General features: G+C 46.5%; 1 protein-coding gene across 4 annotated transcripts in view; it reads right to left on the reverse strand.

The window, feature by feature from the left end:
- Positions 1–11,237: 11,237 nt before the first annotated feature.
- C13orf42 (chromosome 13 open reading frame 42) overlaps positions 11,238–17,422 on the reverse strand; it is a 90,270-nt gene continuing 84,085 nt past the window's right edge. For all 4 annotated transcript variants that reach the window (NR_102431.3, NR_102432.3, XM_024449398.2 and 1 more), the window contains 3 exons: positions 17,047–17,194; positions 14,438–14,678; positions 11,238–13,444 (listed from right to left, as the gene is read on the reverse strand). Coding sequence is in view for 2 of the 4 variants with exons in the window: in XM_024449398.2 (XP_024305166.1) it covers positions 13,270–13,444; positions 14,438–14,678; positions 17,047–17,194 (564 nt within the window). In the remaining 2 variants the exon portion in view is untranslated. The remainder of the gene's footprint in view (positions 13,445–14,437; positions 14,679–17,046; positions 17,195–17,422) is intronic.

Raw genomic sequence — 17,422 nt, forward strand, 5'->3', positions numbered from 1 at the left:
GTCCCATGAGCCCAATCTTAACCACAAGTCGGTGCAGTGCTGTCTTCTTCAAAACAGCTTTCTCAGGAGACTGTACTTCCTCCAATTGAAACATTTTGAGAATTTCTCTTTTACAGCTACTTTCAGAGTGTGTGGCACAATTTTTGAATATCCTAAGTGATAGCAAATCAACATTCTTTCATTATGACAATAGTTAACAGTTACTATCTACCAGGCACTTTAACAGGTGTAAATTCATTTAACCTTCACCATGACACTATATGTTAGGAAATGTTATTATCGTGCCCAATTCCCATTTGAGAAAAATAAGGCGTAGAGGGCCTAAATCATCTGCCCACTTTTACACAGCCAGGGCCTCAGGCCTGCAGCTTGGATGAGACCGTGTGAGACAGGGTGAGGCTGGGTAGTTTTTTCTTTGCATGAGGGGGTACTCGGGATCCAGAGTCCATCCGCACTCCCACCCAGTGCAGGCCAGAGACCACTCAGTGAAAGGAGCACCTAAGTCATGAATGACACTTCAGCTGCCCGTGGGCTTCTGCTACAGGCAACTGTCTCTCAGCAGGGCTTGAGTTTTAGAAACAGTCAGAAGGAGTGCAGAGCTGGGTCTCATGAGACAGGTTAGTGAGCTTTCAGCTGTGGACAGTCCGATTTTGAATAAAAATTGAGACTGTTTTTCTCACCTGGCTGTGAAGCCTGCTCCACCAACCCTGCCGGTCTCCCATGCCGCTTCCCCTCTCGCCCTCTGGGCTCAGTCCGCACCCTTGGAGCACTTCCTGCTCATTGGCCCACTCTTTCTCGAACCTTGCTTGCTCCTCCTCTGCTTAGCTTCTGCATGCTGGGGTACTCCAGGCCTCAGGTGTCAGCTTCCTCCCTCTTACATCTCCACTCAGCACCTAGGTGACCTCACCTCCCTGTGGCTTCAAATTCCACCTCTGCGAGGATGGCCCCGGGATTACACCCTAGACCAAGCCATTCCCCTGAGCTCTACACAAAGATACCTAATTTCCCATTTGACATCTCTACTTGGAGGTCTACGGAAAGCTCTAAGTAAACATACCTAAAATAGATCTCTTGATTTCCCTCGCCACCAAATACCCCTGCCCATCAGCCCATCCCTCATTCAACTCAATAAAGGGAACCTCTATCACGATCCCATGTCTCCATATCGAATTCACAGCAAACCTAAATACTGGAAGGTTCTCCTTCAGAGTTGATCCTAAATCCAATCATCTTTGGTTACTTCCCTATCCCCACCCTGATCAAGCTACTCCCTCAGGACCCTACAGAGCTGCTCAACAGCTGTCCCCACCCCACCCCCATCCCCAGTCAAAACCTCACCCAACAGCCAGAATCATCTTTTAAAAACGTGATCAGATTGTGTTATTCCCTTGCTCAGAACCCTCGAGCACTCCTGGGCACCTTCCTTCCTTCTCCTCAAGATCCCTTGATGCCGTTTCACATGGAGCCTTCCTTTGCCTGGGCAGTTCTCCTCCTGGTCTCCTCCTGGTCCTTTGCCTGGGCAGTTCTCCTTCTGGTCTCCATTAATCCCCCATTTCATTCCATTAAAGTGTCACCACCTCTGAGAGGCCTCCACTGACTGAACTCCCCACCTTCCGCCTCTCTACACTCTGTGCCTTTCTCCACCAGACTTCACAGCATTTCACCCCCGGCCCTTTATTCTACGTAAATATATATGCATGTCATAGATGACTACTTATTGCCTATACACCTCTGCCCCCAAATTTAAAATCTCTGAAGGAAGGGATCTGGTCCTATTCTGCCTTCAGGGCCTAGAAGAGTGCTTGGCAAATACGGGTGCTCAGTAATGCACTACAGATCAGTCAGGGCCATCTTGGAGCTGCCTCGCATGAGCCATAATCCCTCTAGCACAGATGCCTTGCATGGTATTCCCTCGGCCTGAGTCTCTCTCCATGGCCCATGGCTCTTGACTTTTTTTTTTTTTTTTGTACTTTAAGTTCTAGGGTACATGTGCACAATGTGTAGGTTTGTTACATAGGTATACATGTGTCATGGTGGTTTGCCGCACCCATCAGCTCATCATTTACGTTAGGAATTTCTCATAACGCTATCCCTCCCCAAGCTTCCCACCCCGCAATGGGCCCTGGTGTGTGATGTTCCCCTCCCTGTGTCCATGTGTTCTCATTGTTCAACTCCCACTTATGAGTGAGAACATGCAGTGTTTGGTTTTCTGTCCTTGTGATATTTTGCTAAGAATGATGGTTTCCAGCTTCATCTTTGTCCCTGCAAAGGACATGAACTCATCATTTTTTATGACTGCATGGTATTCCATGGTGTATATGTGCCATATTTTCTTTATCCAGTCTATTATTGATGGACATTTGGGTTGGTTACAAGTCTTTGCTGTTGTGAATAGTGCCACAACAAACATATGTGTGCATGTGTCTCTATAGTAGCATGATTTAAAATCCTTTGGGTATATACCCAGTAATGGGATTGCTGGATCTAATGGTATTTCTAGTTCTAGATCCTTCAGGAATCGCCACACTGTCTTCCACAATGGGTGAACTAATTTACACTCCCACCAACAGTGTAAGAGCATTCCTATTTCTCCACATCCTCTCCAGCATCTGTTGTTTGTGACTTTTTAGTGATAACCATTCTAACTGGCGTGAGATGGTATCTCATTATGGTTTTGATTTGCATTTCTCTAATGACCAGTGATGATGAGCATTTTTTCATATGTCTGTTGGCTCCATAAATGTCTTCTTTTGAGAAGCATCTGTTAATATCCTTTGCCCGCTTTTTAATGGGGTTGTTTTTTCTTGTAAATTTAAGTTCTTTGTAGATTCTGGATATTAGCCAGTTGTCAGATGGATAGATTGCAAAAATTTTCTCCCAATCTGTAGGTTGCCTGTTCACTCTGATGATAGTTTCTTTTGCTGTGCAGAAGCTCTTTAGTTTAATTAGATCCCATTTGTCAATTTTGGCTTTCATTGCCATTGCTTTTGGTGTTTTAGTCATGAAGTCCTTGCCCATGCCTATGTCCTGAATGGTATTGCCTAAGTTTTCTTCTAGGGTTTTTATGGTTTTAGGTCTTACATTTAAGTCTTTAATCCATCTTGAGTTAATTTTGTATTATGTGTAAGGAAGGGATCCAGTTTCAGCTTTCTACATATGGCTAGCCAGTTTTCCCAGCACCATTTATTAAATAGGGAATCCTTTCCCCATCGCTTGTTTTTGTCAGGCTTGTCAAAGATCAGGTGGCTGTAGATGTGTGGTGTTATCTCTGAGGCCCCTGTTCTATTCCATTTGTCTATATCTCTGTTTTGTACCAGTACCATGCTGTTTTGGTTACTGTAGACTTGTAGTATAGTTTGAAGTCAGGTAGCGTGATGCCTCCAGCTTTGTTCTTTTTGCTTAGGATTGTCTTGGCTATGCGGGCTCTTTTTTGGTTCCATATGAAATTTAATGTAGTTTCTTCCAATTATGTGAAGAAAGTCAGTGGTAGCTTGACGGGGATAGCATTGAATCTATAAATTACCTTGGGCAGTATGGCCATTTTCACGATATTGATTCTTCCCATCCATGAGTATAGAATTTTCTTCCATTTGTTTGTGTCCTCTTTTATTTTGGTGAGCAGTGGTTTGTAGTTCTCCTTGAAGAGGTCCTTCACATCCCTTGTAAGTTGGATTCCTAGGTATTTTATTCTCTTTATAGTAACTGTGAATGGGAGTTCACTCATGATTTGGCTCTCTGTCTGTTGTTGTATAGGAATGCTTGTGATTTTTGCACACTGATTTTGTATCCGGAGACTTTGCTGAAGTTGCTTATCCACTTAAGGAGACTTTGGGCTGAGACAATGGGGTTTTCTAAATATACAGTAATGTCATCTGCAAACAGAGACAATTTGACTGAATGTAGACAGTCAGAGACAATTTAACTGAATACCCTTTATTTCTTTCTCTTGCCTGATTGCCCTGGCCAGAACTTCCAATACTATGTTGAATAGGAGTGGTGAGAGAGGGCATCCTTGTTTGTGCCAGTTTTCAAAGGGAATGCTTCCAGTTTTTGCCCATTCAGTATACTATTGGCTATGGGTTTGCCATAAATAGCTCTTATTATTTTGAAATACGTTCCATCAATACCTAGTTCATTGAGAGTTTTTAGCATGAAAGGCTGTTGACTTTTGTTCAAGGCCTTTTCTGCATCTATTGAGATAATTATGTGGTTTTTGTCGTTGGTTCTGTTTATATGCTGGATTACGTTTATTGATTTGCGTATGTTGAACCAGCCTTGCGTCCCAGGGATGAAGCCAACTTGATCGTGGTGGATAAGCTTTTTGATGTGCTGCTGGATTCAGTTTGCCAGTATTTTATTGAGGATTTTCACATCGATGTTCATCAGGGTTATTGACCTAAAATTCTCTTTTTTGTTGTTGTGTCTCTGCCAGGCTTTGGTATCAGGATGATGCTGGCCTCATAAAATGAGTTAGGGAGGATTTCCTCTTTTTCTATTGGTTGGAATAGTTTCAGAGGGAATGACACCAGCTCCTCTTTGTACCTCTGGTAGAATTCGGCTGTGAATCCGTCTGGTCCTGGACTTTTTTTGGTTGGTAGGCTATTAATTATTGTCTCAATTTCAGAACCTGTTATTGGTCTACTCAGAGATTTAACTTCTTCCTGGTTTATTCTTGGGAGGGTGTTGTGTGTCCAGGAATTTATCCATTTCTTCTAAATTTTCTAGTTTATTTGCGTAGAGGTGTTTATAGTATTCTCTGACAGTAGTTTGTATTTCTGTGGGATCTGTGGTGATATCCCCTTTATCATTTTTTATGCCACTTATTTGATTCTTCTCTCTTTTCTTCTTTATTAGTCTTGCTAGCAGTCTATCTATTTTGTTGATCATTTCAAAAAACCAGCTCCTGGATTCATTGATTTTTTGAAGGGCTTTTTGTGTCTCTATCTCCTTCAGTTCTGCTCTGATCTTAGTTATTTCTTTTCTGTGCTAGCTTTTGAATTTGTTTGCTCTTGCTTCTCTAGTTCTTTTAATTGTGATGTTAGGGTGTCAATTTTAGATCTTTCCTGCTTTCTCTTGTGGGCATCTAGTGCTATAAATTCCTCTCTACAAACTGCTTTAAATGTGTCCCAGATATTCTGGTACGTTGTGTCTTTGTTCTCACTGGTTTCAAAGAACATCTTTATTTCTGCTTTCATTTTGTTATTTACCCAGTAATTACTCAGGAGCAGGTTGTTCAGTTTCCATGTAGTTGTGCAGTTTTGAGTGAGTTTCTTAATCCTGAGTTCTAATTTGATTGCACTATGGTCTGAGAGACAGTTTGTTGTGATTTCTATTCTTTTACATTTGCTGAGGAGTTTTTACTTCCAATTATGTGGTGAATTTTAGAATAAGTGCAATGTGGTGCTGAGAAGAATGTCTATTCTGTTGATTTGGGGTGGAGAGTTCTGCAGATGTCTATTAGGTCCGCTTGGTCCAGAGCTGAGTTCAAGTCCCGGATATCCTTGTTAATTTTCTGTCTTGTTGATCTAATGTTGACAGTGGGGTGTTAAAGTCTCCCATTATTATTGTATGAGAGTCTAAGTCTCTTTGTAGGTCTCTAAGAACTTGCTTTATGAATCTGGGTGCTCCTGTATTGGGTTCATATATATTTAGGATAGTTAGCTCTTGTTGAATTGATCCCTTTACCATTATGTAATGGCCTTCTTTGTCTCTTTTGATCTTTGTTGGTTTGAAGTCTGTTTTATCAGAGACTAGAATTGCAACCCCTGCTTTTTTTTTTTTGCTTTCCATTTGCTTGGTAGATCTTCCTCCATCCCTTTATTTTGAGCCTATGTGTGTCTTTGAATGTGAGATGGGTCTCTGAATACAGCACACTGATGAGTCTTGACTCTTTATCCAATTTGCCAGTCTGTGTCTTTTAATTGGGGCATTTAGTCCATTTACATTTAAGGTTAATATTGTTATGTGTGAATTTGATCCTGTCTTTATGATGCTAACTGGTTATTTCACCTGTTAATTGATGCGGTTTCTTCATATCGTCAATGGTCTTTACAATTTGACATGTTTTTGCAGTGGCTGGTACCAGTTGTTGCTTTCCATGTTTAATGTTTCCTTCAGGAGCTCTTGCAAGGCAGGCCTAGTGGTGACAAAATCTGTCAGCATTAACTTGTCTGTAAAGGATTTTGTTTCTCCTTCACTTATGAAGCTTAGTTTGGCTGGAAATGAGATTCTGGGTTGACCCTCTCCCTCTCCCTCTCCCTCTCCCTCTCCCCACGGTCTCCCTCTCCCTCTCTTTCCACGGTCTCCCTCTGATGCCGAGCCGAAGCTGGACTGTACTGCTGCCATCTCGGCTCACTGCAACCTCCCTGCCTGATTCTCCTGCCTCAGCCTGCCGAGTGCCTGCGATTGCAGGTGCGCGCCACCACGCCTGACTGGTTTTTGTATTTTTTTGGTGGAGACGGGGTTTCGCTGTGTTGGCCGGGCTGGTCTCCAGCTCCTAACCGCGAGTGATCCGCCAGCCTCAGCTTCCCGAGGTGCCGGGATTGCAGACGGAGTCTCGTTCACTCAGTGCTCAATGGCACCCAGGCTGGAGTGCAGTGGTGTGATCTCGGCTCGCTACAACCTCCACCTCCCAGCCGCCTGCTTTGGCCTCCCAAAGTGCTGAGATTGCAGCCTTTGCCCGGCCGCCACCCCGTCTGGGAAGTGAGGAGCGTCTCTGCCTGGCCGCCCATCGTCTGGGATGTGAGGAGCCCCTCTGCCTGGCTGCCCAGTCTGGAAAATGAGGAGCGTCTCTGCCCGGCCGCCATCCCATCTAGGAAGTGAGGAGCGCATCTTCCTGGCCGCCATCCCATCTAGGAAGTGAGGAGTGTCTCTGCCCGGCCGCCCATCGTCTGAGATGTGGGGAGCGCCTCTGCCCCACCGCCCCGTCTGGGATGTGAGGAGCGCCTCTGCCCGGCCGGGACCCCGTCTGGGAGGTGAGGAGTGTCTCTGCCCAGCCGCCCCGTCTGAGAAGTGAGGAGACCCTCTGCCTGGCAACCGCCCCATCTGAGAAGTGAGGAGCCCCTCCGCCCAGCAGCCACCCCATCTGGGAAGTGAGGAGCGTCTCCGCCCAGCAGCCACCCCGTCCGGGAGGGAGGTGGGGGTCAGCCCCCGCCAGGCCAGCCGCCCCATCCGGGAGGGAGGTGGGGGGTCAGCCCCCTGCCCGGCCAGCCGCCCCGTCCGGGAGGTGAGGGGCACCTCTGCCCGGCCGCCCCTACTGGGAAGTGAGGAGCCCCTCTACCTGGCCAGCCGCCCCGTCCGGGAGGGAGGTGGGGGGGTCAGCCCCCCGCCTGGCCAGCCGCCCTGTCCGGGAGGGAGGTGGGGGGTCAGCCCCCCGCCCAGCCAGCCGCCCCATCCAGGAGGGAGGTGGGGGGGTCAGCCCCCGCCCGGCCAGCCGCCCCGTCCGGGAGGTGAGGGGCGCCTCTGCCCGGCCGCCCCTACTGGGAAGTGAGGAGCCCCTCTGCCCGGCCACCACCCTGTCTGGGAGGTGTGCCCAGCGGCTCATTGAGAACGGGCCATGATGACAGTGGCAGTTTTATGGAATAGAAAGGGGGGAAAGGTGGGGAAAAGATTGAGAAATCGGATGGTTGCCGTGTCTGTGTAGAAAGAAGTAGACATGGGAGACTTTTCATTTTCTTCTGTACTAAGAAAAATTCTTCTGCCTTGGGATCCTGTTGATCTGTGACCTTACCCCCAACCCTGCACTCTCTGAAAGTGCTGTGTCCACTCAGGGTTAAATGGATTAAGGGCGGTGCAAGATGTGCTTTGTTAAACAGATGCTTGAAGGCAGCATGCTCGTTAAGAGTCATCACCACTCCCTAATCTCAAGTACCCAGGGACACAAACACTGCGGAAGGCCTCAGGGTCCTCTGCCTAGGAAAACCAGAGACCTTTGTTCACTTGTTTATCTGCTGACCTTCCCTCCACTATTGTCCTATGACCCTGCCAAATCCCCCTCTGCGAGAAACACCCAAGAATGATCAATTAAAAAAAAAAAAAAAAAATACTTGAGATTAAATAAATCTAAAGAGGACAACTAAATGTACTGAGTGATGATAGATCCTGAACCAGAATAATAATTACTTACAAAGGGCATCGTTGAGACAATGGATGAACTCTGTATATAGGGATTGTGGTTTAGATAATAGTATTTTATCAATGTTAAAAAAAAAAAGAAAATGAAATTCTGGGTTGAAAATTCTTTTCTTTAAGAATGTTGAATATTGGCCCCCACTCTCTTCTGGCTTGTAGGGTTTCTGCCGAGAGATCCGCTGTTAGTCTGATGGGCTTCCCTTTGAGGGTAACCCGACCTTTCTCTCTGGCTGCCCTTAACATTTTTTCCTTCATTTCAACTTTGGTGAATCTGACAATTATGTGTCTTGGAGTTGCTCTTCTCGAGGAGTATCTTTGTGGTGTTCTCTGTATTTCCTGAATCTGAACGTTGGCCTGCCTTGCTAGATTGGGGAAGTTCTCCTGGACAATATCCTGCAGAGTGTTTTCCAACTTGGTTCCATTCTCCCTGTCACTTTCAGGTACACCAATCAGACGTAGATTTGGTCTTTTCACATAGTCCCATATTTCTTGGAGGCTTTGCTCATTTCTTTTTATTCTTTTTTCTCTAAACTTCTCTTCTCACTTCATTTCATTCACTTCATCTTCCATCGCTGATACCCTTTCTTCCAGTTGATCGCATCGGCTCCTGAGGCTTCTGCATTCTTCACATAGTTCTCGAGCCTTGGTTTTCAGCTCCATCAGCTCCTTTAAGCACTTCTCTGTATTGGTTATTCTAGTTATACATTCTTCTAAAATTTTTTCAAAGTTTTCAACTTCTTTGCCTTTGGTTTGAATGTCCTCCTGTAGCTCAGAGTAATTTGATCGTCTGAAGCCTTCTTCTCTCAGCTCGTCAAAGTCGTTCTCCATCCAGCTTTGTTCCGTTGCTGGTGAGGAACTGCGTTCCTTTGGAGGAGGAGAGGCGCTCTGCTTTTTAGAGTTTCCAGTTTTTCTGTTCTGTTTTTTCCCCATCTTTGTGGTTTTATCTACTTTTGGTCTTTGATGATGGTGATATACAGATGGTTTTTTGGTGTGGATGTCCTTTCTGTTTGTTAGTTTTCCTTTAACAGACAGGACCCTCAGCTGCAGGTCTGTTGGAGTACCCTGCCCTGTGAGGTGTCAGTGTGCCCCTGCTGGGGGGGTGCCTCCCAGTTAGGCTGCTCGGGGGTCAGGGGTCAGGGACCCACTCGAGGAGGCAGTCTGCCCGTTCTCAGATCTCCAGCTGAGTACTGGGAGAACCACTGCTCTCTTCAAAGCTGTCAGACAGGGACATTTAAGTCTGCAGAGGTTACTGCTGCCTTTTTGTTTGTCTGTGCCCTGCCCCCAGAGGTGGAGCCTACAGAGGCAGGCAGGCCTCCTTGAGCTGTGGTGGGCTCCACCCAGTTGGAGCTTCCCGGCTGCTTTGTTTACCTAAGCAAGCCTGGGCAATGGCGGGCGCCCCTCCCCCAGCCTCGCTGCCGCCTTGCAGTTTGATCTCAGACTGCTGTGCTAGCAATCAGCGAGACTCCGTGGGCGTAGCACCCTCCGAGCCAGGTGCAGGATATAATCTGGTGGTGCACCGTTTTTTAAGCCCGTCGGAAAAGCACAGTATTCGGGTGGGAGTGACCCGATTTTCCAGGTGCCGTCCGTCACCCCTTTCTTTGACTCGGAAAGGGAACTCCCTGACCCCTTGTGCTTCCCGAGTGAGGCAATGCCTCGCCCTGCTTCGGCTCGCACACGGTGCACACACCCACTGACCTGCGCCCACTGTCTGGCACTCCCTAGTGAGATGAACCCGGTACCTCAGATGGAAATGCAGAAATCACCCGTCTTCTGCGTCGCTCACGCTGGGAGCTGTAGACCGGAGCTGTTCCTATTCGGCCATCTTGGCTCCTCCCAATATTGGGCTTTTATAATGAAGCTTAAAAGGGAATTGGGCTGGGTCTGTTAGGACTAGAACATCTTGTGATGCTGTATGGTTGGCTAGATAATGGCTTCCCAAAGATGTTTCCATCCTAATCCCCAGAACCTGTGAATGTCATTTTATATGGCAAAAGATATTTTGCAGATTTGATTAAATTAAGGATTTGGAGATGGAGAGATTGCTCAGGTGAGAGTGATGTAATCACAAAGATCCTTATAAATGGGCCGGGCACGTAGGCTCACACCTGTAATCCCAGCACTTTGGGAGGCCAAGGTGGGCAGATCACCTGAGGTCAGGAGTTCGAGACCAGCCTGACCAACATGGGGAAACCCCGTCTCTACTAAAAATACAAAATTAGCCAGGCATGGTGGCACATGCCTGTAATCCCAGCTACTCAGGAGGCTGAGGCAAGAGAATCACTTGAACCCAGGAGGCAGAGGCTGCGGTGAGCCAAGATCGTGCCCATTGCACTCCAGCCTGGGCAACAAGAGCAAAACTCTGTCTCAAAAAAAAAAAAAAAAATCCTTATAAATGGGAAGCAGGAGCACAGACTGAGCAGGTGGAGACATGATGATGGAATCAATAGGTTGGAGTGATGCAAGGATGGGGTCACCAGCCAAGGAATGCAGGAAGCCCCTGAAAGCTGAAAAAAGCAAGGAAATGGATTCTCCTCTAAAGCTTCCAGAAGGAACACAGCCCTGCCAACATCTTGACCTAACCTGGTGAAACTGATTTTGGTTCTTCTGACTTCCAGACTGTAAAAGCATAAATATATATTGTTTTAAGCCTTTAAGTCTGTGGTAATTTATTACAGCAGCAACAGGAAACTCATTCTCTCTGCAAAGGCGAACAGTGGTGAGAGGAACACAGTGTCCTGTTAGAGACACTTTGGGCTCTGTGTCTGAGAATGGGCACCAGGAAGGTCGGTCTTGGCAGCAATGCTCTCAGTTGCATGGCACATGGCTGGGTACACACGATTCAAATCAAACTAGCAGCTCCATGCATCTTGCCCCATGAAGCAGAAGACAGTCTGTAGCGGGAGCTAGAAACCAGGTGCTAAAAAACAAGCCAGATGCCACGGATGCACATCCTCTCTTTTTGACATTCTGTCTAGGGATAGGTAGATTTTCATGTATCAAAACTGAGAATCCTGGGAAAGCCAGAGATCTAACATAGCCTCAGTGATCAGCTTGATTCCATTGAATAACTGGCCAATCCAAGGAAGAAAAGAATCTGTCAACTCAACTGGGTTTTCTGAATTGACTTTTATTGTTTCAGATTTCATTTATCTCAAACCCCACCAGACACCATCTCAAGATTCCCCAGGCAGAGCACAGATCCTTGGGTTTATCACCAACTTCAAACACCTAAAAATGATCCCCAAAGACAAGACAACCTTCTGTTTCCCAATCATGGAATTTTTCAGGCTGTGTATAGTCTCATGAAAGACAAAAAACATACAAAACAAAGCAAAATAAGACGGCACAGCTTCATGTGCCATAAGCAATAAATGCTTTTTAAAAAATCAGGACTCCAAACATCCTCGCAGTCATGTTTATTTTTTCTTATCTTTAAAAACAAAATGTACACAGTATCTTCACCACATAATTTCAGGGTGGATCTATGATAAACTGTAGTTTGATAAGAGGCAGAGTAAAGACACCTTTATCCTGAGTTTATCCCCAACAATGAACTTTTATAGATGAGGCTTCAAACAAGGCCACATTTAGGGAAAATAAAAGATCTGTGGTGATAAATGGCAGTGCTTTAATGCAGTTTATAAAACAAATCTCCTAAACATTTACTTTCCAGTCAAGCTTCTGGCTATAGCTGGGTTAGTACAAGCAACAAAATGAAAGAAACTTTCCAAACATTGACATTGGCACTCGAAAAATAATAAAGAGAGGTATTAAAACATTTCTAGTATGGTTTCATTCTGAAAACATGTTGAGATAAAATTTCTAAGAATGCAATATAATTACTAGCTGTTTTTTATTTGTAAGAGTTACATATTCTTAGATTCATATGATCAGGTTCACATAAACAAAAGGTTCTTCCTAAAAAATGGAACAATAAGAATATCATCCCACAGGCATGGCAGAAAGGAAGCCTCTGTTCAGTTCTTAGCCTGACCTTAGCCTAGAACATCCTTGGCTTAATTCAAATGATTGTGGTTTTCTTTGTTTTGTTTTGTTTTCTGTTTTTTGTCTCTCTCCCTTCCTTCTGCCCAAAGACCCTTATACATGCACAGACTGGTTTACAAGAAAATGCCAAAAAAAGAAGTGAGAATAGATAAATTTCAGTATATTCTCCAAACCAGTGGTTCTCAAGCTTGAATGGGTACAACTATTGCAAAAATGTAAAAAGTATTTAGAAATACAAAGAATATATTTTAAATGTAATTCTGATTCAGATAGTTCCTAAAATACAGAAATCCTTTCTATACCAAAAGAACGTAATGATTCTGATTGTTCTCTTAACTGGGGAAAGGGAAAGGTGTGGCCTGTCATAAACTGGTTCCATGGATATTTAAAAAGATTTTTCTGGGTAAGAATTAGAAGAAAAAGAAAAGAATCACCCCATCTCCCTTCTTCTCTTGTCAATTGCCTATGTGAAGGGGAGCTGAGTTTTGGGGCCTGAGGAAACAGTGTGGCCCCCAGGCAGGCTCGTGACATACCCCTTCCCTCACCCCATTGCCAGGGCATTAGCCTCATCTTAGCTTAATGCAGCAGGAGTTTCTGGAAAACTCTGAAAAGAGAGCAAAAGGAGCTGCTTTCTCAACTGCATTCTGCACACAAGACGGCAACCTCAGTGCAGATCCAGCATGTCTCTGAGCCTCATAGAAAGAGGAGCTACCTCTTTGAAGCTTTGGCCCAGAAATCTACAGGTGAGTTCATTTCTGGTACTGAGCACATTGCTAGCAGCCACCTGGACAGACACGTGGAGAATGAGGACCAGGCCAGGTGAGGTCAGGGGAGTGAGCCCAGACACTCCACTCAAGACCTTCCATTCCTTCAGCTCTTGAAGACCAGCCAGGCTGTAAGTCCCTGGTCATCAGCCCACGCAGAGAAACTCAAGCTCTGAGAGTGTCCTGAGACCTGTCCCCTGGGAAGCCACAGGTCTGTTTGGCACTGGCACGGCACCAGCAGGCAGTGTGCTGAGTGGGTTGACTGTGTTACAATTGGCATTTTCAACTCTACCAAATACCTCATGCTGCGCTGAAAGCGGACAGCTTCTCAGGGACCCAGTCTGAGACACGTCAAGGAATCCAGATGGAGTCAGGGCACCGTCCGCTCCCAAAGTCTTTCTCGAAGCAGCCACTGTCCTTTGGGGTTCTCTGTCTCATAGTAGTCCTCCCCAGGAGACAACTGGGGCTCCAACGCAAAGAGCTCTGCATCCCACTCCATATCTTCTCCTGAGAAGTTGAAAAGGATCTGTCTGGAGCTCCCCAGGCTAGAAGGAAGGAATGAGGCAGGAGGTTTAAGTTCGGCTTGGCCGGCCACACAGAGGGAAGGGATGCTCAATGACCACCATTCTCATGGAGACCCTCAGATTGCTGCCCTAGTCCTGGGTCTTGGGGAGGACCAAATGGTGTCGCCATGGGGGCCATGGGTGGACCTCAGCTGGACCTTGGCCTGGCCTTGAAGGGGAAGGACGGGTGGTGAGGGCTGGGTTGTGATTTTAATATGTCCAGTGCATGGTCTGTTACTGTGGAAGGGAAATGCTATCTAGAAAGCCCCTAAATCCAACAGGGTTTAGTGGCTTTTGTAGAAGCAAAGGAAGACAGCTGATGAGGCTTGACAGGCCCTTCCGTTGTGACAGGCAAGGCCCTGCAGCATGGCCTGGGTTGCCCAAACCCAGAAAGAGCTTACTGCTCTGAGCGAGTGGATAACAGGAATTTGACGGTTAGTGATGGTAACTAGGCCTGGGGGAGGAGGATCTAAAAGGAGACAGGCCAGAGGAGATGGTGGTAAGATGGCCCAAGAGGGGCCTGGCCAGCAAGACGTTCTACATCTTGGAGCCTGCCCGGTGCATTTTAGAGAGGGGCATCTGATTCATTTGATGTTGGTTTCCTCTTGGTGCTATGCTCTGTTGAACCTCAAACTCATTAAAAGTCTGTAGCATGCCATGCGTCAATGGCACTGGGGGGAAATCCATGAAGGTGGATGGCACAGTGCATGGGCTAAGTGGGCCAGAAAGAAAGGGAGGCAGACCCAGGAAGAAGCAAGTTAGGAGCAGTGCACCAGGCTAGAGTGCAGACTACCAAAAAAAAATGTTGAAACTAAGACCTCACCACCACCAGCAACAACAAATATATATATATATATATATATATATGAATAATATTTGGCATGTAAGATGGGGCTGGAGGCACCTTAAGGATCACCCCAAGCGTCTGGAGGCCACGAGAACATCTTGGTCATGCTATTTAGCCCAAGCACTTACTCTTTTTTGCAGGCTTTGGGCTTAAATTTCCAGGTGTTGAAGGCCCCTTCCACAGCCTTGGGCAAATAAATGGGGTGCCTCTCGAGTCTCCTCTGAGTGCCCACGGTCCTGTGCTCGGTGCTCCTTCGAAACTGGCCGTCTACAGTATGCACAGTGTGGGCAGCGATATCCTCGGAGTGTCTGCGCGGTGCCCGCAGGATCCAGTTAGAATGCAAGCTGTGCTCCCTGGAGCTGGTGGCCACTAGAAGAGAAAAGCATGTGACCCAGGAAGGAAGGGCTTGCCATTGGGAGGCGCATAAGGCAAAGGAGAGGGCGGATTGGACTGAACACTCACAGGAAATGGGTGTAGGCAACCATGTTCCTAATAGCCAAGCAAAGCAGATTTGACTCTGCAGTTGTGGTGCAGGAGGAATGCAATGGAATATATGTCCATTAAAAATGGGGACATAGGCCAGGTGCGGGGGCTCACGCCTGTAATCCCAGCACTTTGGGAGTTCGAGGCAGGCCAGTCACCTGAGGCCAGGAGTTGAGACCAGCCTGGCCAACATGGTGAAACCCCATCTCTATTAAAAATACAAAAATTAGCCGGGCGTAGTGGCAGGTGCCTATAATCACAGCTACTGGGAAGGCAGAGGTAGCAATGAGCCGAGACTGTACCACTGCACTCCAGCCTGGATGACAGAGCGAGACTCCGTCTCAAAAAAAAGGCCAGGCGTGGTGGCTCACACCTGTAATCCCAACACTTTGGGAGGCTGAGGCATGTGGATCACTAGGTAAGGAGATTGAGACCATCCTGGCTAACACGGTGAAACCCCGTCTCTACTGAAAAATACAAAAAATTAGCCGGGCGTGGTGGTGAGCGCCCGTAGTCCCAGCTACTCGGGAGGCTGAGGCAGGAGAATGGCGTGAACCTGGCAGGCAGAGCTTGCAGTGAGCTGAGATCGTGCCACTGCACACAGCCTGGGCGATGGAGCGAGACTCCGTCTCAAAAAAAAAAACAAAAAAAAACAAAAAAAAAAACAAGAAGACACAGATCTATATTTATGGGCTTGGAAAGTAGCCCAAGATGTATTGTAAATTGTTAAATGAAAGGACATCCTAGTTTTATGGCAAAAAAATTAAAATGAGTTTGTGAGTTTGTGTGTGTGTATGTGAGAGTGTGTGTGTGTAAGAGAGTGTGTGTGTGAGAGAGAGAGTGTGTGTGTGTGTGTTAAAACCACACTCAAAAAGACATATCCCCAAATGTTACCGGTGATGATTATCTCTGGGTGGCAGTTTTGCAGGTCATATTTTTTACTTTCTTCTTTATGCTTTGGTATGTTTTTTGTTATCAGAGGAGAAAAGTGGTCATTTCATGAACTTAATAAAAATGACTTGGTCACATTCATTTTTATTAAAAATTATAACTCTGAAAATGACCCTTGCATCCTTAGTGGATTTTGTCATCCTTTCACCAATATCCTGAATTTCCTAGGCCCCCTCACTCCCAGGGGCAGGGCTGCTGTCTGTCAGGGACTGGAGGGGCTGCGTGGGAGAGGAGGAGGATAAGAATAAGCTTGGGGAGCAGAGTTAACCTTCTGTGAAACTGCAAAGAACCCAATTTGAAACCCCAAATCCCACAGATACACATCTATCAAGGCCAGAACAACAACAACAAATCACAAGCTTCTTTCAAGCATTAGAGAAAACACTCATGAATTATTTAATATTGGTACCAAAAGCTCTAACCTTAGTATAAGGGGCCAGTGAGCCCCCTGAATAAAACTATCATTAATTTACACCATGGTGGGCAAGTCAAAGATTAAACAAACTGTCTGACAGTCGCATGATGGAATGTAAAGGGTGCTCAACTGATGAATGTGTTTGGATTCTTTGCTCTCCATCAGGAGGGGTGCCCAAGGACACGCCTTGGTGAGGAGGGAAGCATGAACTCAGGCCTCACCCCACTCCAGCTCCAGCAGTCCAGGCTGGGTCTGGGCAGCCACCGTGGGCCTCTCCTGCCCTATGCACCACCCTACTACCTAGCCTACGTATGGTCAGAAGCTGGATTCTCAAATACAGTTTGTCCATTTCATTTCTTTTTTTTAAGTTGTGGTGAAGTGTACAGAACATAAAATTTACCATCATCACCATTTTTTAAGTGTGCCATTCAGTCATGTTCAGTATATTCACGTTGTTTTGCAAGCGATCTCTGGAACTTTTTCATCTCAAAAAACTGAAAGTGTACCCTTTAAATGACACCCCTCATCGATTCTCCTTCCTTCATCATTTCCCTATTGCTGTCCTTCTTGGAGTCTTAGGAAAGTCCCACCTGTCTCAGCCGTGGTAAGTGGACCACAGGGAAAACATTGTCCAAACATGGCACCAGAGTGTTGGAGAGGCAGCCTAGAGCCGTGGCAGCACAGAAAACTGAAGTAAGAGATCCCCACAGAGGATGGGCTCAGGGCCAGGCTCCAGCTTGGAGGTGCAGGGTTTCCCTTTAATCAGGGAGGTGGGATTCCTGATGGCCTATTCTATAAGTCCACCCCAGAGCCCCCAGCCCATCCTCACAGCATCACAGCCCCACCCGCCTTCAGCCACCATCTTCCCACTGCCTTCCTGGCACTCACCGTCAAAGTCCACATCTTCATTTGGCAGGCTGGCCTCAGCAGCCCGGGGTCGTCTCTCTGTATCCAGCTCTGCAATGATGGAGTCAAAGAAGGCAATGGCCTCGGCCACATCAGCACTGAACTGCGAGTATTTCTTTGGGGTTGCTTTCTGCAAGAGGTGAAGGGGAGAAGAGAGAGTTGCCTGAGCCAGTAAGCCAGAGACTCAGAAAAGGGTGAAATGTTGCTAAAACGAAATGCGCGTGGGGTTAGGGATTTGTGAGGTTTCAAAGGTAACTATGAATAAGTGCCCTGTGGAAGGAAGGTAGATACTCCAGGTCCATAATTGCTGTAGGTCAATGGATTTCTAATTGTCTCAAGAAGGGAGAGTGAAAGGACA

The sequence above is a fragment of the Homo sapiens genome, chromosome 13 (genome assembly GCF_000001405.40).
Source record: "Homo sapiens chromosome 13, GRCh38.p14 Primary Assembly".
Classification (NCBI taxonomy): Eukaryota; Metazoa; Chordata; class Mammalia; order Primates; family Hominidae; genus Homo; species Homo sapiens.